The following is a 21,048-nucleotide window of genomic DNA, read 5'->3' on the forward strand; positions in this document are numbered from 1 at the left end:
CACATCCTAGTACTGGCTTCTATAAGGCATCCCTCTTTCATGAGTCACAAGGAACTGCAAATGCCTTTTAAAGTGTTTATGCAAGTGTTATCTAAGCATTGCTTGCTTTTCTCTAAGTCATTTTACTGTGTCAAATCATTTTGCCCAAACCACTCCAGGCCATGTCATTTCACAGCACCTACCATAATGGGAGGAGTGTAATCCCATGGAAGGATCCATTCACAGTTTGCAACATTGATCTATAGTTCTCTATATAAAGCCTACATCTCTAAAAACTTAGCAGTGACCAAATATAACAACTTTGACTCCTTTCCTTTCCTCCCAATGACTTCAGCAAGTCCTGTAGAAATATATTTTGATAATATATAATAGCCTACAATTTTTTACTAATTTATTTGGTCTACTTGTTTATTGTCTGCCTTCCCCATGAAAATGAAGCTCGTCTTGCTCACTGGTAGAACACCAGCAGTTGAGCTTAGCACAGTGTATGTGCTCAGTAAATATAAATCACTTGTTGAGTAAATGAATGCTCACATAGCTGTCTAGCAAGTGTGGATGCCATGTTGTGATGTGTTGGATTTTGTTTCAAAAAAGATATTGGCCTATGTAGGGCAGTAGTCTGTCTAGTTTTCAGAACTTTCCATCACCATATTAACCTTGAGTTTCTCTCATTTGTGACTGTATAATTTAAAACTATAAATCTTCACATAAAGGAAGCATATTTGGTCATTCATTAGACTTAACTTGACTATTTTCAAAAGGAATTGAGAATGGCCATGAAAGGAATTATCATGAATAAAAACAATAACAACAGCATTGTAAACATCACCTAAACCTCTTACCAAGATCACCCCTAACAGTGTGATCTTTATCCCACTGTTGGGCTTTGAGTGTGACAATGGATAGTGCAATGGATAAAGCTGGACCACAGAGTTAGAGAAATCTGGGTTTCTATCCTGGCATAGCCTCTTACTAGGTGTGTAAGGCTGACTGTATTTCTCTACTTCTCTAGGCTTACTTTCCCATCTACAAAATGAATCAACTTTATAGATTAGTGTGTGGATTCAATTGTTATGTAATTAAAATACTTATTATGGTTCCAAACACATCATCATTGTGTTAGTTAACATCTGCTGTGTAGCAAAGGACTCCCAAAACGTACCGACTTTTCACAACAATCATTTATTTAGCCCATGATTCTGTGAATTAGTTGGGTAGTTCTAGTCTGGATCAACTGATCTCTGCTGGGCCCTCTCATGCATCTGTGGCAGCAGTTGGACTGGCAAGTGGATGATCTAGGATCCAGGATGGTTTCATTATGTGTCTGGCTGTTGGCAAGTTATCAGCCAAGGTGACAGGGGTGACTGGGCCATGGTCTTTCATCCTCCCGCAATCTAGTTCAGGCTTCTTCACATGGCAGTTGTTGCAGAGTTGCCAAAAGCAACAAGAGAGAGCAATCTCCAATGTACAGGTATTTTTCAAGACTGCTTGCATCATATTGGCTAAATTTCCATTAGTTAAGGAAATCACAGTTCCAGCCCAGTGTCAGTGAAGGAAATAATTCGCGGCCATTTTTGTAGCCTGCCACAATCCTCATCATCACTGTCATCATAAAAACTAGTATTTGTTGAGCATTTACTAAGTGCCAGATGCTGTTCTAATCATATTACATTTATCAAAGCTTGTAATTCTAGCCACAACCTTATGAGGCAGATACTATTATATCCTATATTGGCGAAAAGGAAACTGAGGCACAGAATGGCAAAGCAACTTATCCAAGGTCACACAGCTGGGAAGCATGGGAGCTGGAATTCAAACCAATGCTCCAGAGCCATACTTGTAATGACCGTTCTCTACTGTCTCTTCTTCACACTCTACATGTGGGCTTTTCCATGATTCCTTCTTTTTCATAAGTGAGTGATCTAGGAAGAGATAATACCTTGACTTTTTTTTTTTTTTTTTTTGAGACTGAGTCTCACTCTGTCACCAGGCTGGAGTGCAGTGGTGCAATCTCAGCTTACTGCAACCTTCGCCTCCTGGGTTCAAGTGATTCTCGTGCCTCAGCCTCCCGAGTAGCTGGGATTACAGGCATGTGCCACCACACCCAACTCATTTTTGTATTTTTAGTAGAGACGGGGTTTTACCGTGTTGGTCAGGCTGGTCTTGATCTTCTGACCTTGTGATCCACCCACTTCTGCCTCCCAAAGTGCTGGGATTACAGGTGTGAGCCACTGTGCCTGATCAATACCTTGATTTTGACAGGTTCCCTGAACATTGCCATATCTACCACCAGTTTGTCCACACTTCAGCATTTTTCCAACAAAGCACCTTGAGTTTCTCTCATCCTGGATTGGTGTGACTGGGATGCATCATTCCAGATCTTGGTAGTAATTTTTGATCTCTTTCTGGTTCTTTGTGGTGAGGGTATTGGCAATCGTGATGGAAGTTCAGAGCTTCATTCACAGAGCACTTCATCTTTTATTTCTTCAGACAAGTTTGGGGGCTTGGAAATGTGGCTGATAACGATGTTGAAATATTACTTAATATATACATAGCATTTATATATGTTTATTAATAGTTTCTTGGAGGTGATTTGCAATACCTTTTGATATCAGAGACTATGGCTTTCTCTCTATCCTCAGCAACTAGCACAGGCAAGAGCACACAGAGGACACATTGGAGGAGCTCAGTACATGTTGTAAATATCTACATCCGTATCTGTATTTTATTAAGACAGGGTCAAAAACACATATACTAATGGTGACCAGATATTGGCCAGGTGTGGTCACTAAAGAATGGTGGGCACTGGCATCCAGTGGAGAACTCATGCCCCATCTAACAGTAGAAGATCTAGCCATTTGATACCATGTAGGAATGCTCAGTGTTACCAGATTGTTTCATTATTCAGGAGATGCTGGAACTTCAGATGTATATGTAAAGCTTTCCTGAATTTAAACAGGGTATGTCAGATGAAACAGGTCTGTTGACTGAATCTGGCCCATGGTCAATTGATTTGTGACCTCCCTACATTAGGCACTTGTTGGCACCTTTCTATTGCATTATAACTGTCCTGAAGGCCCGAGGTGGAAGGGGAGATGCAGAATAAGGCGGAGATGGAACAATGAGATGACAAGAGATGAAAGACTTCAAGAAGGATGGATGATTGCCTATTTCAGAGATTCTGCAGAGGGCAAAGAAATGGGAATAAGAAAAGGCTATTAGATTAAAGTAAATTAATTATTTGGCACAGCACTACGTCTACAGGCTGTGTTCTTTAAAGAAATGATCAAATAACATGGGAAATAGTTAAGCAAATTAAAATACTTTGTTTACTCTGACTCTCGTAATTGTCTTTAATATTCTATTATGCAATGTAAATCTCCAAAAGGAGAAGAGATTTACTGAGATTTTTTAAACTTTCATGATCAAGGAGTCCTTAGGTCATACAATCCCTTGTAGATAGAATGTTTTGAGGAAAACACCTTGGAAAAGCTGGATAAGAGACTGAATGAGTCACTGGGAGTCTATGGAGGCCTGATGTGGAGACTGGAATGCACATGGTAGTGAGCAAATGCACAATGAGCCAGCGCAGCAGCTTGGCAAGTAAAGAAAGTAGGCCAACCTATTAGGAACTAGGAATTGCCAGCTTAGTAATCTTTTTAAGACAAAACCATTTTAGCATTATTCCTTTGCTGAAAACAAACCAGCGAAAACAAAAACAAAAACAAAACAAACAAAAAACAAAAAAAAGCATCAAGGGGTGCCCTCCTCTGATGGGTGAAATCTCCTTGCTTTAACATTCCAGGTCTCCTTTATCAGGCCAGCTGACCTTTCTTATTCCCCAGTTGTTCCCTGGCCTTTCTCATTCCCCAGTTATTTCCTATGCTTACTCCCTGCTCTAAACTCCACTGGCTGTCCTTATTGCTTGCATGGTGAGTTGTCTCCCCAGCTGCTCCAGTTAGAGAAATGCCTGCTTTCCAAGGCACAGGTCAAACCCTGCTTTGCCTATTAAGCCTTCCTTAGCCATCAAGCTACCAGTCAGTTCTTTTCCTTACACAACTGGATCAGTTACTTCTGAAGGACTTGCATGGGACTTAGTGTGTTGGAGATGGCCTGTATGATTTGGAGCCAAGAGAATAAAACTATGTCTTGAGATCTGCAGCTCTCTACCCCCATTTGCCCTCACAGTACACCCAAATAGGGTTAGGATAATATTGCCCAGAAACACAGAAGAGCAAGGGCATAACTCCAATCACATTGCATTTCATAGATTGTGGTCTATAGTTATACAACCACCTATTATTCATTGAGGGTAAAGGAGTGTATTCTCTTTTATAGACTTGCTCAACAGTAAAGAGCATCATTTCTAGACACTAGGCTGAGTATGTTACATGTTTATCATGGTGAATCCCAGAATCTCCCTAAGAATAGTGTTATTATTCCCATTTTACAGAGGAGGGAGCTGTCTTGAAACATTCAAGTCAGCTTGTTCACACTTAATGACCAGCTCTCTATCTGGTGAAGGTCGAGTCAGGTGTACCTGACCTCATGTACCTGACCCCAAACCTGGGCTCTTTCTGTCCCAGCACACCATCTCCATGGCCATGCTGGCCACTAGAAATTTAATGACAGAGAATTAAAGGTAAGAATCACACTGTGCCTTCAAGTGGCAAATATATACCACCAGACAGAGGAAGACAGATAAAATCTAGTTAGGGTCTACACAGTTTGAATATCATAGGACTCGGTGCATTCTGGGGTATCATAAGGACCTAGCACAGCTCAAGAGAGGCCCTCTTGAGTGAGATTTGGAGGATGCAACATCATGGGGGCACATGCCTGGCCCGCAGGGCAGTGAGAGTCTTCTACTCCCTGGCCATTCGTCAGTGTCACCGAAGGAGGTGACCTTCATTTCCACCCTACTCTAAGCTCTTGGCTTTTCTGTCTCCTTTACTAGACTGTGAACTCTGAGGAGAGAAACTATTTTATTTATCCAGCCCTGTCATAGTTTCTGGTATATAAACAGTAACTATTTGTTGGTTTGATGAATGAATGACAAGTCAGCCAAGGCAAGGTGCTCAAGGTGACATGATAGAGACAGCATGATAGAGACAGCACCTTTATTCCCCCATCAGAGAGCTGGATTACCTCACTGCATGTTATGTGTCTCCTCCGTTTGTTTATACACTATCCAGAAGTCTCTGGCTTCTCAGAATGCTTGACAAATTCCAAGTCCTCCCTTCAATAATGTCAAACCTTATAATTTTCAGGCCTCATCGAAGATTGTGAAATCCTGCAGCAGCACAAGAGGTGTCTGCTGCCCCTCACACTTTCCCCACATCTTCCAACACACTGCCTTGCACAGAGCAGGGTCTATATACATGCACATTGAATGACTGCATTGAAATAGATTGGAGACATGGTTAGGAACCTGTCCTAACAGTGCAATCTTCTTGAGACAATGCTTGGTGAATTCGGGTGATAAAAGGAGAAGAAATCAGGATAGTGACAGTGACATAGATGGGGCAAGAAGAGTGAGCAGGATCTGTCAACTTATTGGATATGGGAGGTGAGGGAGGAGGAAGAGAAAAAATGATTCAAATACTTTGATCTCAGCTGACAGTTTGAAGGATTATGCCCAAAGGGGAAATAGGGAAGTTCTCTTTCCCCATGACCCTCTCATCCTCATTTCAGTTTAAGCATGGAGAAAAGATTTCCCATAAAAGTCAGGCTGAAACACTCCATGGAGGGAGACAGACCTGGGACAGTCATTCAGTAATGTCCAGGAAAACCAGAAGGAAAGGTTTGCCTTCATCTCTCTGCAGAAGAGCTTTGCTCTGCTGAGGAGGAGAAATTTGAGCTGAATGTATTTCTGGTTGGTATGACTTGTAAGTTCTCTGTTTGATAGCAGAGTTGTTTGAATGACCTATTTTATAACTACACAGAGCTTTTCCAAATAGATGGTGTCTGTAGAATGTTCAGGTTAATGCATGAGCCGAGTGCTCAGAGTGTTTGCACTTGGAGCATCTGAGCCTTCTTTCTTAATAAGTCATCTTGGCATTTTGTCAACAAGTTAATTTGCTTTCCTAAGAAACTAGATTAATACTTCCTGTACTTTGTGCTATTCACAGATCTACAATGCAGTGAGAAGAGAAGAAACAGAAAATACAGTTGGATCTCTACTCCATTTCCTCACCAAGCTCCCAGCCTCCGAGACAGCCCATGGAAGGATAAGCGTTGGTCCATGCTTAAAGCAATGTGTCCGAGACACTGTATGTGAGTATCGCGCCACCCTCCAAAGGACTTCAATATCGCAGTACATCACCGGTTCTCTCCTAGAAGCAACCACGTCTTTGGGAGCAAGAAGTGGCCTTCTCAGTACTTTTGGAGGATCCACTGGACGAATGATGCTGAAAGGTAATGCCTGAAATTTCACTTTTAACTTTCTATCTTTGACTACAGAGAAGGATCTAAGTTAAGATTTATGTATCTCCTGATGGAAAATTAAGTTCACTTTTCAGCAACTTTAAGTAAAAGTCGCTTCTTTAAGAGAATATAAAAAGGTGGTCCCTTATTAAAATCCCCTAAGGTGTCAACATTCCAAATAGTAATCATTAAGATTTTGAGGCCGGGTGCGGTGGCTCACACCTGTAATCCCAGCACTTTGGGAGGCCAAGGCGGGCGGATCACAAGGTCAGGAGATCGAGACCATCCTGGCCAACACGGTGGAACACCATCTCTACTAAAAATACAAAAAGTTAGCTGAGGGTGGTGGCGGGCGCCTGTTGTCCCAGTTACTCGGGAGGCTGAGGCAGGAGAATGGTGTGAACCTGAGAGGTGGAGCTTGCAGTGAGCCGAGCTCACGCCACTGCACTCTAGCCTAGGCAACAGAGTGAGACTCCATCTCAAAAAAAAAAAAAAAAAAAAGATTTTTGAAACTTTTTTTCAAATGAAGTAAATGGTTAAAACGCTATCTTTAATTTTTTTTTAAATGATTCAGGCAGGTAGTTTCTCCTAGTGGTAGTTTATGACAAATGTCAATTACTATGACAAGATGCTAGGAAACAAATATAGTCAAGCAGTCATATTGAAAACCCACTGTGGTTGGGAGCAGAGTGAAATATAGATCTCCTTCATACATAGAATTAATAGGTGTCTATTGACCAGAAAAGCCAAAGGCCATCTTCCAGCTACTCCCATCTTAAAGGACAAGATAGGCAGGCATCCCACTGAAAGATGAAAGCCAATGGAGTGTGGGGTCCCTTGGCATATGAACTTCCCAGCTACTTCCCATGAGCAGCAGACAGGCAGGTCAGAAATGGCAGTGCACCAAACAACCTCAGAAACTTGTACACTGCATAGCTGTCACAAGCTGCTTGGCAGCCTTCCCTGGCAGGAAGCTGCCAACCAGACAGGGACCATGCAAAGCAGCATTCCACTGCCTGGGGGTTGCCAGAACTCAATCTGACAGCAGCTATTGTCCCTCCATAGCAGGTCCTGAGACCCAAGGCCAGCAGGCCAATGACCTTCCTCCTTGATCCTCAGCCTTCTCCATTCCTACCCACACACACACCCCTAGACAGGCCTAAGAGGAATACTGTAACCTCCTTGTGTACTATGTTGGGTGCCAAGTTGGTTTGTTTTCTGGAGTTGCCCGAACTTCAGGGGATTGGTTATAAATGAATGAAGAATAACAGAAGGTGTGGGAACACTAATGGCTTCATGTTTTTCAGCCATTCAACACATTTTTTGAGCCCCTATTAGGTGTTAGGTGCTGGAAAAGGAACAAAACATAATTCCTGCCCTCATGGAATTTATAGTCTCTAGGTGGTAAGCTGTTTTCCCTACACACAAGACTCAAGGTTTCTCCCCTCTGATGTGGCACCTAGAGAGTACCAAGCCTGCATTCTTCATCATACTCTTCCCAGGAAGTTGGGCTGAGATTGGCATGTGGAATTGGCATTGTTTTAATGCTTGTGATGGTATGCCAGGGCCTTATCCCATGAGTTAATCAACATGTGTAGACTAAACCCCTCCCATTTGGTTTTCAAAGTCTTTTTTTTTTTTTTTCTTTTTGAGATGCAGTCTTACTCTGTCACCCAGGCCGGAGTGCAGTGGCATGATCTTGGCTCACTGCAGCCTCTGCCTCCCAAGTTCAAGTTTCTCATGCCTCAGCCTCCCGAGTAGCTGGGACCACAGGCACACGCCACCTCGTCTGGCTAATTTTTGTATTTTTAGTAGAGACGGGGTTTTGCCATGTTGGCCAGGCTGGTCTCGAACTCCTGACCTCAGGTGATCCGCCCATCTTGGCCTCTCAAAATGCTGGAATTACAGGTGTGAGCCACTGCACATGGCCTTAAAGTTTTTATGTGCCTCAGTTAAACATATTTCTTTAACAATCAGTGGAATAAAATGGATTAAAAACCCAGATGGGTTTCTCACCACAAACAATGATAAGTATGTAAAGCATATGTTAGTTAGCTCAACTGAACCATTCCACAAGGTATACATATTTCAAAACATCATGTTTTACATGACAAATGTATACAGTTTTTATTAACTCATTTTGTGCTCAGTAGTGTGTAGGAAGAAACGGATCTCTAGGCTGCCCAACCAAGGCAGGCACGCCTCTAGTCTTCCACAGGTCTGTGGAGAGAAATAAGGAAGCTGCTGGTGTGTGCATCTATGGCCCTGATCATAATTTGACTTCAATTGTATTTGCACTTCCCTGTTCGAAATAGAACCTCATAGATCAATATTTCTAGCTCTGACACTCACCAGACTGTCAGCTAATGTGTTATCTTTAAATTGGCGTTTTATGCAAGAGTTGGAAGTTTCTTTAACTTTTTGCTTTGAAGCTCTTTGGTGATTTCTGAGAACCCTCTAGAAACTCCTGCTGAATAATACAATTAGCTGGTTGCCTTCTGCTCCAAGCTTATTTCTGTAGTTCTGACTTACTATCTTGGAAACATTTTTCAATTTCAGCATCCTCTCCCATTTGGTTTTCAAAGTCTTTACGTGCCTCAGTTAAACATATTCCTTTAACATGCAGTGGAAGAAAATGCATTAGAAAACCAGATGGGTTTCTCACCACCAAAAATGATAAGTATGTGAGGTAAAGCATATGTTAGTTAGCTCAGTTGAACCATTCTACAATGTATACATATTACAAAACATCATGTTGTACATTACAAATATATATAATTTGTATTTGTCAACTTAAAAAAATTAAGTTAAAAAAAAAGATGGGTCTTCAAAGTCAAAGAGTGTTTACAGAATCTGTAGGATCAGCATATTGGTTAGTGGGTCTTGAACTCTGATGGCCATGTACTCTGCCAGAGGATCAGGAGTACATGCAGCTGCTGTGATGTGGTTGTGAGCTTTTTTTTCTTCTTTAGTATGTGTCCTGTGGCATAGATTTGGCCAACAGCTTTTAGCTATTGGGGAATATATAATACACTCTTAGTCTTCAGTTTATAAATGGGTTATATTCTACAAGTTCATTTCCCAGGAGCGATATAGAACTTAGAACACTTTCCTGGATAAGCAGTATTAAATGTTGTGATTTGGTTCACAGACTCTAGTCCTCAAAAACCTCTGTAACCCATAACACAGTTGTGATCTGCACATTTCCCACGAAATAAAGAGGAAAACACTATTGTTGGAATACTGAGCATTAGCCTCAAAGAAAAAGCAATAGAAGTGAGTTAGAAGACATTTCTTGTTGAGGGGCAATAATTTTATTAAAGATGAGTAAAGAGTTAAACTTTTCAGAGATTTCGAAAAGGAGTTTTAGCCATTTCTGAGATTTTAGATGTTGGCAGCTGTAGCTTTTTGTTATGGCTAATTACACTTCAAAACTTGTACCTATATGAAGGAGTCAGAAAATTGCCCCAGTAATTTTTTCCTAATGTTTTTTAACGAGATGTTTATAAATGGTATGAAGAAGGATGGAAGGAGGTAGCACAAGATTTAAATTTTTCCCCAGAGATAAAGAAAAAGGAATAAGTTCAAAAGAATAACCTCTTCCATAAGAGAAAACATGTTTGAAGTGAATTAAACGGAGTTGGTAAAGGTAGAGAAAAAGGAACAGGGAAAAACAAATGCTGTATGATTTCCCTTATATGAAGTACTTAGGGTAGTCAAAATCATAGAGACCTTAAGTAGAAAGGTGGTTACCGGGGATGAGGAAGGGCAATGGGAATGGGGAGTTAGTGTTTACGGGCTATAGAGTTTCTGTTTTGCCAGATGAAGAGTTCTGGAGCTTACTGGTGGTGATAGTTGCACAGCAATATGAATTTACTTAATACCACTGAATTGTACACTTAAAAATGTTGAGATAGTAAATTTTATGTTGTATGTATTTTATCATAAGAAGAAATAATTGGGAAAAAGGGCATGTTTTGCAGGTCTTTCATCCCCCTCCCTAGTCTATTAGGATGTAAGAAAGAACCGAAACGCTCCTCTTCTGGAAGTGGTTATGATTATGAGATGGGGGTCGTGGTCACCTGTACTAGGCGAAAATAGAAGGAAATGTCCAACAAGTTGATCGTTATTCACAAGTCAAGAACTGGTAACTCGAGGCTTGATTGTCCAGAATTCTGCAGCCTTGGGGCTTTATGGATTGATACAGAAGGCCAATAATCAGAACACAAACATGCCTGCTTTTCTGCCTTCAGTGCCACCAAAGGTCATCTGCCTATAAAGCTGAAGGTTTGCCAAATAACCAGAGACACTTTCTTATGTGAAGCATTGATCCACAAGGATATGCCCTTATCATAAGTGTGTGCTGTCTCAAAGTGGAAAAATAGAGCGCCTTTACCTTTCAGTCAGGAACCTCCACTAGTTTGATACATTAAGATCCTTCTGGCCGGGCGTGGTGGCTCACGCCTGTAATCCCAGCACTTTGGTAGGCCGAGGCGGGCAGATCATGAGGTCAGGAGATCAAGACCATCCTGGCTAACATGGTGAAACCCCGTGTCTACTAAAAATACAAAAAAATTAGCCGGGTATGGTGGTGGGTGCCTGTAGTCCCAGCTACTCGGGAGGCTGAGGCAGGAGAATGGCGTGAACCCGGGAGGCAGAGCTTGCAGTGAGCCAAGATCACGCCACTGCACTCCAGCCTGGGCGACAGAGCAAGACTCCATCTCAAAAAAAAAGATCCTTCCACTTCCTGTCCCTGTGCCCTTTTCCCTCTCCCCATTAATCTTGTTAGAATCTCAGGACTAACACCTTATAGCAGTGGCAGTCAAAAGAATTATTGACTTCGATAATTAGGAAGAAATTTTCAAAGCTATCACCTGCTTTTTCTTTTCTTTTAATGTTTTACCTACTGAAAATTATAAAAACAAGATAAAGTTAAAAGGGAGAGAAAAAATTGAGATAACTGATGGTAATGTGAAGTACTAAAAATGGCAAAATTAGAAAAATAAAGTGATGACAAGAGGATTTTTCATATAAGGCAGCTAAGTGTTTTCAAATGTGCATATTGTACCAGCCAACATAATAAATTGAGTGTGTTAAACTCAATTTTTCCTTCTCAAATTGTTGCTGAGTAAAGCACATAAATTAAAGGATTAAGTGTTACATATAACCGAGACAAAACATAGTTATTCATATTTAAATTGTGTAATAGAGTGGAGGGAAGATGGACCTGCTGAGGCCAGCAAGACATCTGCCATCTTTCTGACAGATGGAGGCCAGCAAGATAGTGCAGACACAGGGTGCCAGGAGGAAAGTCTGTTACTACCATGATGAGAATGTTGGACAAAGCCACCCAATGAAGCTTTACCAATTCTGCATGATTCATAATTTGCTGCTCAACTACAGTCTCCACTGAAAAATGAAAATCTATTGCCCTCACAAAGCCAGTGCTGAGGAGATGACCAAGTACCACAGTGATGACTACATTAAATCCTTGCACTCCATTCATCCTGATAACATGTCTGAGTACAGCCAGCAGGCACAGAGATTCAACATTGGTGAGGACTGTCCAGTATTTCATGGCCTCTTTGAGTTTCGTCAGTTGTCTGTGGGCGGCTCTGTGGCAAGTTCTGTGAAACTTAATGAGTGGCAGACAGACATCACCATGAACCAGACTGCACCATGCAAAGAAGTCTGAGGCATCTGGCTTCTGCTAAGTCAATGATACAGTCTTGGCCCTCCTGGACCTGCTAGAGAATCACCAGGGGGTGCTGCATATTGACCTTGATATTCCACAGTGCATATTGTGCGTATTGACCTTCCATGCCACGGTGATGGCATGGAAGAGGCCTTCTATGCCACAGACTGGGTCATGACTGTGTCCTTTCATAAATGAGGAGAGTACTTCCCAGGAACTGGGGACCTATGGGATATTGGGGCTGGAAAAGGCAAGTATTATGCTATTAACCACCCACTCTGAGATGGGATTGATAATGAATCCTGTGAGGCCATTTTCAAGCCAGATATGTCCGTAGTAATGGAGATGTTCCAGCCTAGTGCTGTGGTCATACAGTGTGACTCAGACTCCATCTGGGGATCAGTTAGGTTGCTTCAATCTGAACATCAAAGGGCATGTCAAGTGTGTGGAATTTGTTATGAGCTTCATCTTGCTGATGCTGATGCTAGGAGGAGGTGTTACATCATTCGCAATGTCACCTGCTGCTGGACATAGGAAACAGCTGTGGCCCTGGACACAGAGATCCATAATGAGCTCCCATATAATGACTACTTCAAATACTTTGGACCAGATTTCAAGCTTCATATCAGTCTTTCCAATATAACTAACCAGATCACTAATGATGCCTGGAAAAGATCAAACAGCAACTGTCTGGGAACCTGAGAATGCTGCCCCACACACCTAGGGCCCAAATGTGGGCTCTTGCTGAGGATGTAACCTAGAGGAGAGTGACAACAAGGACGAAGACCCTGACAAGTGCATCTCCATCTGTTCCTCTGACAAACAAACTGCCTGTGAGGCCGGGCATCGTGGCTCATGCATGTAATCCCAGCACTTTGGGAGGCCAAGGCAGGTGGATCACCTGAGGTCAGGAGTTCGAGGCCAACCTGGCCAACATGGTGAAACCACATCTCTACTAAAAATAACAAAAGTTAGCTGGGCATAGTGGCACGTGCCTGTAATCCCAGCTACTCAGGAGGCTGAGGCAGGAGAATCACTTGAACCCAGGAGGCAGAGATTGCAGTGAGCTGAGATTGGGCCACTGCACTCCAGCCTGGGTGACAGAGCGAGACTCCATCTCAAAAAACAAAAAAATAAACAACAAATTGCCTGTGAGGATGAATTCTCCGACTCTGATGAAGAGGGAAAGGGTGGCTGCAAGAATTCTTCCAACTTCAAAAAAGCCAAGTGGGTCTAAACAGGATGAAAGAGAGAAAGACCCAGAAGAGAAGAAGTCACAGCAGAGAAGACCAAGGAGAAGCCAGAGGCCAAAGGGGTCCAGAAGGAGGTCAAGTTGGCTGAGCAGGCCTTTCCAGCTCTGGCTTCTTGCTGGGTCCCCTAACAACTTAGATTTTATATTTTCTATTTCTCTAGACTATTAGTAAATTTTTATTTACTAAACATAAATATCTTGGGGACTAGAGTGAAAGACAGAAACCAGGGTCCTGAGTCCAGGGCAGCTGTGCTGGGTGAGCTCTTCCAGGAGCTGCCTTGCCCCCCTTTCCTCCCCAGTTCTTAACTTTGAACCATAAAGGGAGCCAGGGCTGGGTGGGAGGGATACTTGTAGGTAGCCATATAGTAGTTTTGGAAAGGTGTCCTTATTAGCATTCTAGAAGGGGTGGCTGGATCTCCAAGGATCCTCTGTTCTTTCCAGGTTCCTAAGGTAATATTAGATGTTTTAGATTGGTTCTGTTCTCATACCTCCCCATTGTCCTCAAGTAAGCCAGGAAGCTCACACTGCCTGCCCTCTGTGTTCCTCCAATTCTGCAGGTGCAGATTGGTAGTCTAGTTTCCTTTTTTGGATACTATTTTCTTTTTGTGAGACTTTGTAATAAAATGGTACATTTCTATTTTTAAAAATAATAATACATTATGTATTAGAAAAAAAAACTAAACTGTTCATTTTTAACCAGTCTGAGTGTGTGGTATGTGTGTCTGTAGACTATATTTAGCTATATTAAAGTTATTTATCACATGTCAGCTATAAATAGAATATTGATATGAAAACAAAAATACCTTACAGATACAATATTTTTGTTTGAAAAGAGGGAATATTTTATTTCAGATAGAAAAGTCTACCAGCACTTTGAGAGGTCGAGGCGAGCACATCACTTGAGGTCAGAAGTTTGAGACCAGCCTGGCTAACATGATGAAACCTGTTACTACTGAAAATACAAAAAAAAAAAAAAAGTTAACCAGGCGTGGTGGCATACACCTGCAGTCCCAGCTACTTAGGAGGCTGAGGCATGAGAACTGCTTGAACCCAGGAGGAGGAGGTTGCAGTGAGCCGAGAACACACCACTGTACTCCCTCCTGGGCAACACAGTGAGACTCCCATCAAGTTTTCAACTTATTTTCTTTCACTACAATAAGCTTGTATATTCTATTTGTATCTTTCTCTAAAGTTAATAGCTTTGAATAAAAAACAAGAAGTTATAGTAGGAATACACATACACATTTGAACTACATGATTATAACTCGTAAATACTTTAGTTTGTAAAGGCTGGCTTAGTTGACTTCCTCAAAATCAAAACGATTACCCTTTACATGCCTACTAGGCAAGGAAGGCATGTGCATAGCTCTAATTCCAAGATTTGTTTATTTAAAGAAATATCCTGACTTGTTAGTATTGTGACCTTGAAATTATTTTCTTGGTATTTAAAAGTATGCTTTAATGTAATATTGGGTGTGTTTCTCTACCAGTTAATCAACTAAAAAGTATTCATTAGCTGCCCACTGTGGCCTAGTGCTATGGCACCTAAGAATGGAGAAGATCACATCTGGAAGTCTTCAACTTGTAAGATAATATTTCTCATTCCAGAGAAAATGTAATATTAGGTTTCAGGTCTACTGAAGGAGCCCTTACCACCTAAAGAGAATTCATAAAGTGCTAGGCTGCTACATTAAAGGTGGTATGAGTAGGTCATAGGGCCAGGAAGCTTGGTAGGCACAGGACAAAAACCTGTTTTAGGACCACAGGTGGTCAAGTATCATCCAGGAGTGTGACACTACACCTGGGTGTAACCTAAGAATATGACTCCATACCAGTTGTGACCAAGGAATGTGACTCCGTCACCAGGTGTGACCTGAACATAGCACTCCATTCCTAGGTGTGAATACACCCATTTTGAGCTGGGAGACTGATTCCATTTAATTCTCTTATGTGCCCTAATTTTGCTCCAAGAAACTAGCTTATGAAAGGAACAAATTATGGCCTAATTCTCCATAAAGTTTTGACACCAAAAAGAGAGAGAGGGAGAGGGAGAGGGAGGAGAAGGAGAAGGGAAGGTGAAGGGAAGGCGAAGGGAAGGTGAAGGGAAGGCTAAGGGAAGGTGAAGGGAAGGCTAAGGGAAGGTGAAGGGAAGGCTAAGGGAAGGTGAAGGGAAGGCTAAGGGAAGGCAAAGGGAAGGAGAAAGGAAGGCAGAAGGAGGAAAGAAAGAAGGAAGGAAAGAAGAAAGGGAGGGAGGGAGGAAAGAAAGAAGGAAGGGAGGGAGAGAAGGAAGGGAGGGAGGGAGGGGAAGGAAAGAAGGAAGATCGGGTAATTGAAAGTTGGTTAAATCCTAATCAATGCAGTCAGAAAGATGACTGGTGAGGATAGCAACACCAGACAGACACTTTGGGTTTACATATCTGAGCTGGTTATAAAAATGTCAAGTCCTAATTACAGAGACTCAGAATGGACCATATTGCAGAAATTTATTTGCAAAATAGTTATTTGAAACACTGCATCCAAAAAAACAACCATTAGATTCCAAAACTTCCCTCCAAAACTTACTGAATATTTAAGTAAAACAATAGTTCTTAAAAATGCCAGAGAATAGCTGCAGACTCTGCAGAAGTGGTTACCTCCAAGAAAGGCCTTTAAATGTGAGCCTCATTGTGTTTTGGATTTGAGCCTTGACTTCAACATTGGGTCATCCTATTCAGGTGATTGTACCTCTAGGCTTTAGTTTCTGCATCTACAAAATGGGAATAAAAGCAACAACTTCGGAGAGTTGTTTTGAGGAATAAGTGTGACAATGTATATAAAGAACTTAGGCCAGGTGGCTCATGCCTGTAATCTCTGTACTCTGGGAGGCAAAGCCAAGAAGATCACGTTAGGCCAGGAGTTCAAGACGAGTGTAGGCAACATGGCGTGATGCTGTCTCAAAAAAAAAAAAAAAAAAGCCAGCCAGATGTGGTGGTGTGTGCCTGTGGTCCCACCTATTCAGAAGGCTGAGGCTGTAGAATCACTGTAGCCCAGGAATTTGAAGCTGCAGTGCGCTATGATCCTGCCACTGCACTCTGTCCGCCTAGGTGATGGAGCGAGACTCTCTCTCTACAAAAACTTTAAAAATTAAAAATAAAAACAGCTTGGCATAGTATCTGGTACCTAATGTATGTTCAACCAATCTTATGATGATGATGGTCATGCTGGGGCTGATGATGGTGATGATGATGGTAGTAATGAGGATTGCCACCACCATCTTGAAATGCCAGCATTCCACTGTTCTTAATTCAAAGACTCTGCTGTTAGCTCAGTTGTAGATGTACAAGAAAAGACAAGTACCCTCCAGGTTTCCCTAGCTGTGGGCCTAGAGCACTAGCAACTCCTGGGACACCTAAGGGGAGGTATCTAGTGGCTGGAGGCCACACCTGTGTAACTCCTTTAGCGAGATTTTCCTTAGTTCCCATGCATTAGGCCACTGATTAATTCAATCATTTGACCAATATTTGTTGAACATCTACTATGTGCCAAGGATATAACAGCAAACAAAATACAGTCTTTACTTTCGAGGGATTTACCCACAAATGGAGGAAATGGACAAATAAACGTGCAAATTTTAAGATAGTATAAATGTTATAATTGAAATAAGCACAGGATATAGGGCCCCAGAGGGAAGTCCCTATACCATCTTCATTGACATCTGAGGTTTCTACAACCATTTAAGTACCTGAAGAAATCTAAACAGGTATTTAACCAGGGAAAACAAGCCCTGACCCATATTATGAAACTTCTGTTGTTTTTACTTAATTCTCTGCTGATATCATCTCTATTTTATTCCCTCCAGAGTAGAAAGATGCTAAGCATTTACTCCTGGTATTGGGAGCCTTGTCTAAAAATCTATGACTGGGACAAAATTTAGTGTTCCAGTTAAAATTTGTATATTTTAATGAAGATGACTTACTCATTACAATAAAATTAAAGGATTTTTTTCAATACATGACACTTCTACTTTTGAGTGTTTCTAAATTGTTTATTGTTTTTAAAGAGTAAGCCTCATTTTAATGAGCTATGAAAATTCTTGCTCTTGGGAACATTTATAGAACATAATAAAATGCTTATAATCTGTTTATAATAACATGTGGGTCAGTAGCAAATACTTAAGAGGATAAAAAAGAGAATATCTCACCATAGTCTGAGTCATAATTTAAACTTCTACTGGAATTGAGTCTTCAAACCAAGAAATAGTGAATAAATTATTACAGTTAAAGTAACAAAAAGATATTTTTAACGGTGTTTAGATTTTGGTAATTGAATTCTAATTACAGATATTATACTATCATCAGGAAAGTCTAACAAGTTTTGTCAACTGGAAATATATATTTGGTATTTTGTCTTTTTAACTTCATATTTCATTGTGACAACAAACTTAAAAAAATATTTTCTATAATGTTAATGTCACAAGTGATTCCTTGAACAAATGTATGCTCAAACACCACTAAGGATCTACCTTTGAATTTTACAGTCACCAGAAACACCCTGTGTGACAGTAGCGGGTATTTTGCCCCTGTTTATACTCAGAGACACATTTTGGCATCAATAAGCAGACTCATCTAAAATCCATTTCAAATAGATGTTGTTGTGGATGATCTGGGAACATGGAGGGTAAGAGAGAGTATAACAAGTTTCAGAGACCCTAGCAACTCACAAGATCTAGGCTGATACACTACCAAGTCTAGACCCAAAATCCTTAACTAGGGTTGACCAGCTTGTAGGAGCAAAGCCAGTATTTGATCCTAAGCCTCTCTGATTCCCAAAGCCATGTTCTTAACTACTAGGAAACACTCCAGTATTATCTCCCACTCAGGGATCCCGTGTACTGACTTATACCAGTGTGTGTGTGTGTCTCTGTGTGTGTGTGTGCATACATGGAGTATAACACTAAATCTTAGATTTGAATGGAGGTTCATTTGACTACAGAATTGATCATTTTCCCACATACCTGCTGCCCCCTTGCCCTAGAGACCTCCAGTGATTTTGAGGATGTCTGTGGAAATGATATCCTTCCATTCTTTGATATAGACACCTATGAGGGTAGTGGGAGTCTTCCCACTGATGGTTACATGTTCATAACACAGTCAATCAAATGGGAAAAGAAGCAGCTCCTGTTAGCTGATGGGCCAAGTAAAACACATTTCACTCTGCAAAAGAAGCCATTGATTGGACACAGGCAGAGAAGTGGTCAAATCAATGGTAACTAGAGAAGAGGGGCTGAAAGAGTGTCTGGGCAGAAGCAATCATATGTGCAAAGGCCCAGTGGCAGCAGGGAGTATGCCAAGTTTGAAGTCTGGGCGGAGAGTGGTGAGCTGGAGGGTTTCTTATGCCAATAAAGTCTGGAGAAGTCGGAATAACAAGCACTAACAGGTATTGGGCACTCACTGTGAGCTGGGCACTGTGACAAGTGTTTTTAAAGTGTTACCTAATTTAAGCCTCATATTTTTGCCTATGAAAAATAGAGAGAGGCAAAACAGAGAGAGGCAAAACAAACTGCCAGATAACATAGGCTCTTGTTAAGGGCTGTAGAAGCAATGGGAAGCCATCAGAGGGTTTTAAGCAGAAGTAGTGACACAATAAGACTTACATTTCAAAAGGATGATTCTCATCAAAATAAAGTAGGGATGCCCCCATGGGCACCACCCCTTCCAGCCCTCATTGTACCCCAAATTAAAATATTTACATTTGAAATGGTCATGGATATTGAACTTGAAAATAAATGACTATTCTGAAATAAAGACTGAGATGGTGTTAGTTGAAATGCTCTTTAATTGTTTCGAGGAGTTGGGAAAAGGAGTAATGGCTACTAACCCAGCTCTCTCTACTTCCTGGGAACTGTATTTCAAGACGTTGGACTTAGAAGGAAGCTTGTGGTGTAGACTACAAAGGGGAATTAAAAACCTGTTCCCTCCAGGCCCAGGTGGACTGTTAATGCTCCCCCTACCCCATGCCATACTCACTGATGACTATGAGTTGTAGCAGTGTTTTACTTATACTGCAGGAACACAAATTCCTTCTTCATGGGCCAAATCCAAGCCACGTGTGTTTTTCTTTGACCGTTGCAGTACTTTAAAAATTGGGAATCTTGCATTAAAATGTTCTGGCTTCTCTGGCAACCCTGGGCCACTATTCTCCCTTGGCCCGTGGGCTGACAGTGATCCATACTAACCCCCACAAGATGAGACACACCAGCTCTTTACCACACACCTGGCCCCACCTCCAGGTGGTGTCCTGTTCAGCTCTAGCCTCATTTCCTTTACCTGCTTGGTCCTGCAGGCATCTCCATTTTGGACCCTGGAGTTGTATTCTGAGATTCACACAAGCTTTGGGGCACTTCAGTTCAAGGATTTAGGAGGCTGAACTGGGAGTTGGGACAAAAAGGAGAAGGGCTGTAAATACAGACAGGTCATCTGTGAACAACCTTCTGGTTGGGTTCTTCCTGGGAGATACAGGAAGCGTTCCAAGCAGGGAAAGCAAGTGAGATAGTGCCAGGGTGAGAATGTGTGCAGCAACTGTGAGACAATGAAGAAATGATGCAGTGGACATAGTGAGAGGTAAGGTCCATTTGGTAGCTGTGGTTACAGTTTGGAGAATGAGGTGAAAATTTGAACCTAAAGCATTAGAGAGCCATTGCAGACCCTTAAGCAGGTTGAATTTTGAATAGTGGCACATTAGGACCAATAGCCTGGAGGCACCCTCTATAGGAAGGAGAGTGGCACTTACAAACCTGAATGCTTTTCCCTGGATTAGGAATTGGGTGCACTGAAAATAGAGGGCCAGAAGCCAGCATGGGCCCACTTAGTTTTCATTGGCATGAGACACTGGTTACAGTAAAAGGACTAGTCTTGAAAATTTAGCATCACCGGGAGAAAAATGAAATGCAATAAAAATTAGAGTCAGTTAAGAATGGAGGAATTTTTACTATGACACAGCACCATTGTAAAAAATCTCCCGCCTCGTGCCAAGGGGTCCGTGCTGCTAAACTCCTCCCCTGAGTTAGTGCATTTGAGTGCTCTCAGTGCAGTCGGCACAGCCAGAGCAGCTGGGAGCAAGGCCTTCTCCAGGCTTACATAAAGCATAGGTCTTGACCAAATGTGAAAAACCTTTAGGGACATGAAAACCATTAGGGATCCGTAGCCCTGACTTGAACCAAGCAGAATAAACAAACCCCTGCCCAAATTGGAACTCACTGGACGCCTTTCAGAGTTATCCAAGGGGAAAGGCTGGAGGCCTCAAGGGTCTTCGAGTGGGTTAATGTCTTCTTTCGGCTGCCTAGCTCAAGATGGGGCTTTATCTGTGCTTTCCTTTGTTCTTTTCTCAAATGTCTTAATGCCTCAGTGGCAAATCCACAAATGGATTGTGTTTTGAACCTGTAATGTGTACCATACTATATTTTCCCTGCTAATGGTATAGTAAAGCCCGTTAGACCTTTTGTTACAAAAGATTCAGGAACTGGGCTGGAAAGGTTCCAGGTAGCATTCACATTTTCCATGGACAGGGTCTTGGTAAGTTCCCAACCTTATTTCTATTTTCAATATCCTTTGTCACTCTTTCCAGCCTCACGATCTAGTTTTCTACACGCATAATGTAGAGAAACGCTGTGTCTCTCTCCCCCAACAGTTAAGTGGCA

At 41.8% G+C, this 21,048-nt stretch overlaps 1 protein-coding gene and 1 pseudogene across 32 annotated transcripts in view; both read left to right on the forward strand.

Moving 5' to 3' along the window:
* The window catches only part of PLCE1 (phospholipase C epsilon 1), a 338,893-nt gene that overhangs the window by 132,112 nt on the left and 185,733 nt on the right, over window positions 1-21,048 (forward strand). For all 32 annotated transcript variants that reach the window (XM_047425285.1, XM_047425289.1, XM_047425297.1 and 29 more), the window contains one exon: window positions 6,132-6,417. In XM_047425285.1, coding sequence (XP_047281241.1) covers window positions 6,132-6,417 — 286 coding nt within the window. The remainder of the gene's footprint in view (window positions 1-6,131; window positions 6,418-21,048) is intronic.
* HDAC1P1 (histone deacetylase 1 pseudogene 1) lies at window positions 11,688-12,960 on the forward strand (annotated as a pseudogene).

This window comes from Homo sapiens, chromosome 10 (genome assembly GCF_000001405.40).
Source record: "Homo sapiens chromosome 10, GRCh38.p14 Primary Assembly".
NCBI classification, from domain to species: Eukaryota; Metazoa; Chordata; class Mammalia; order Primates; family Hominidae; genus Homo; species Homo sapiens.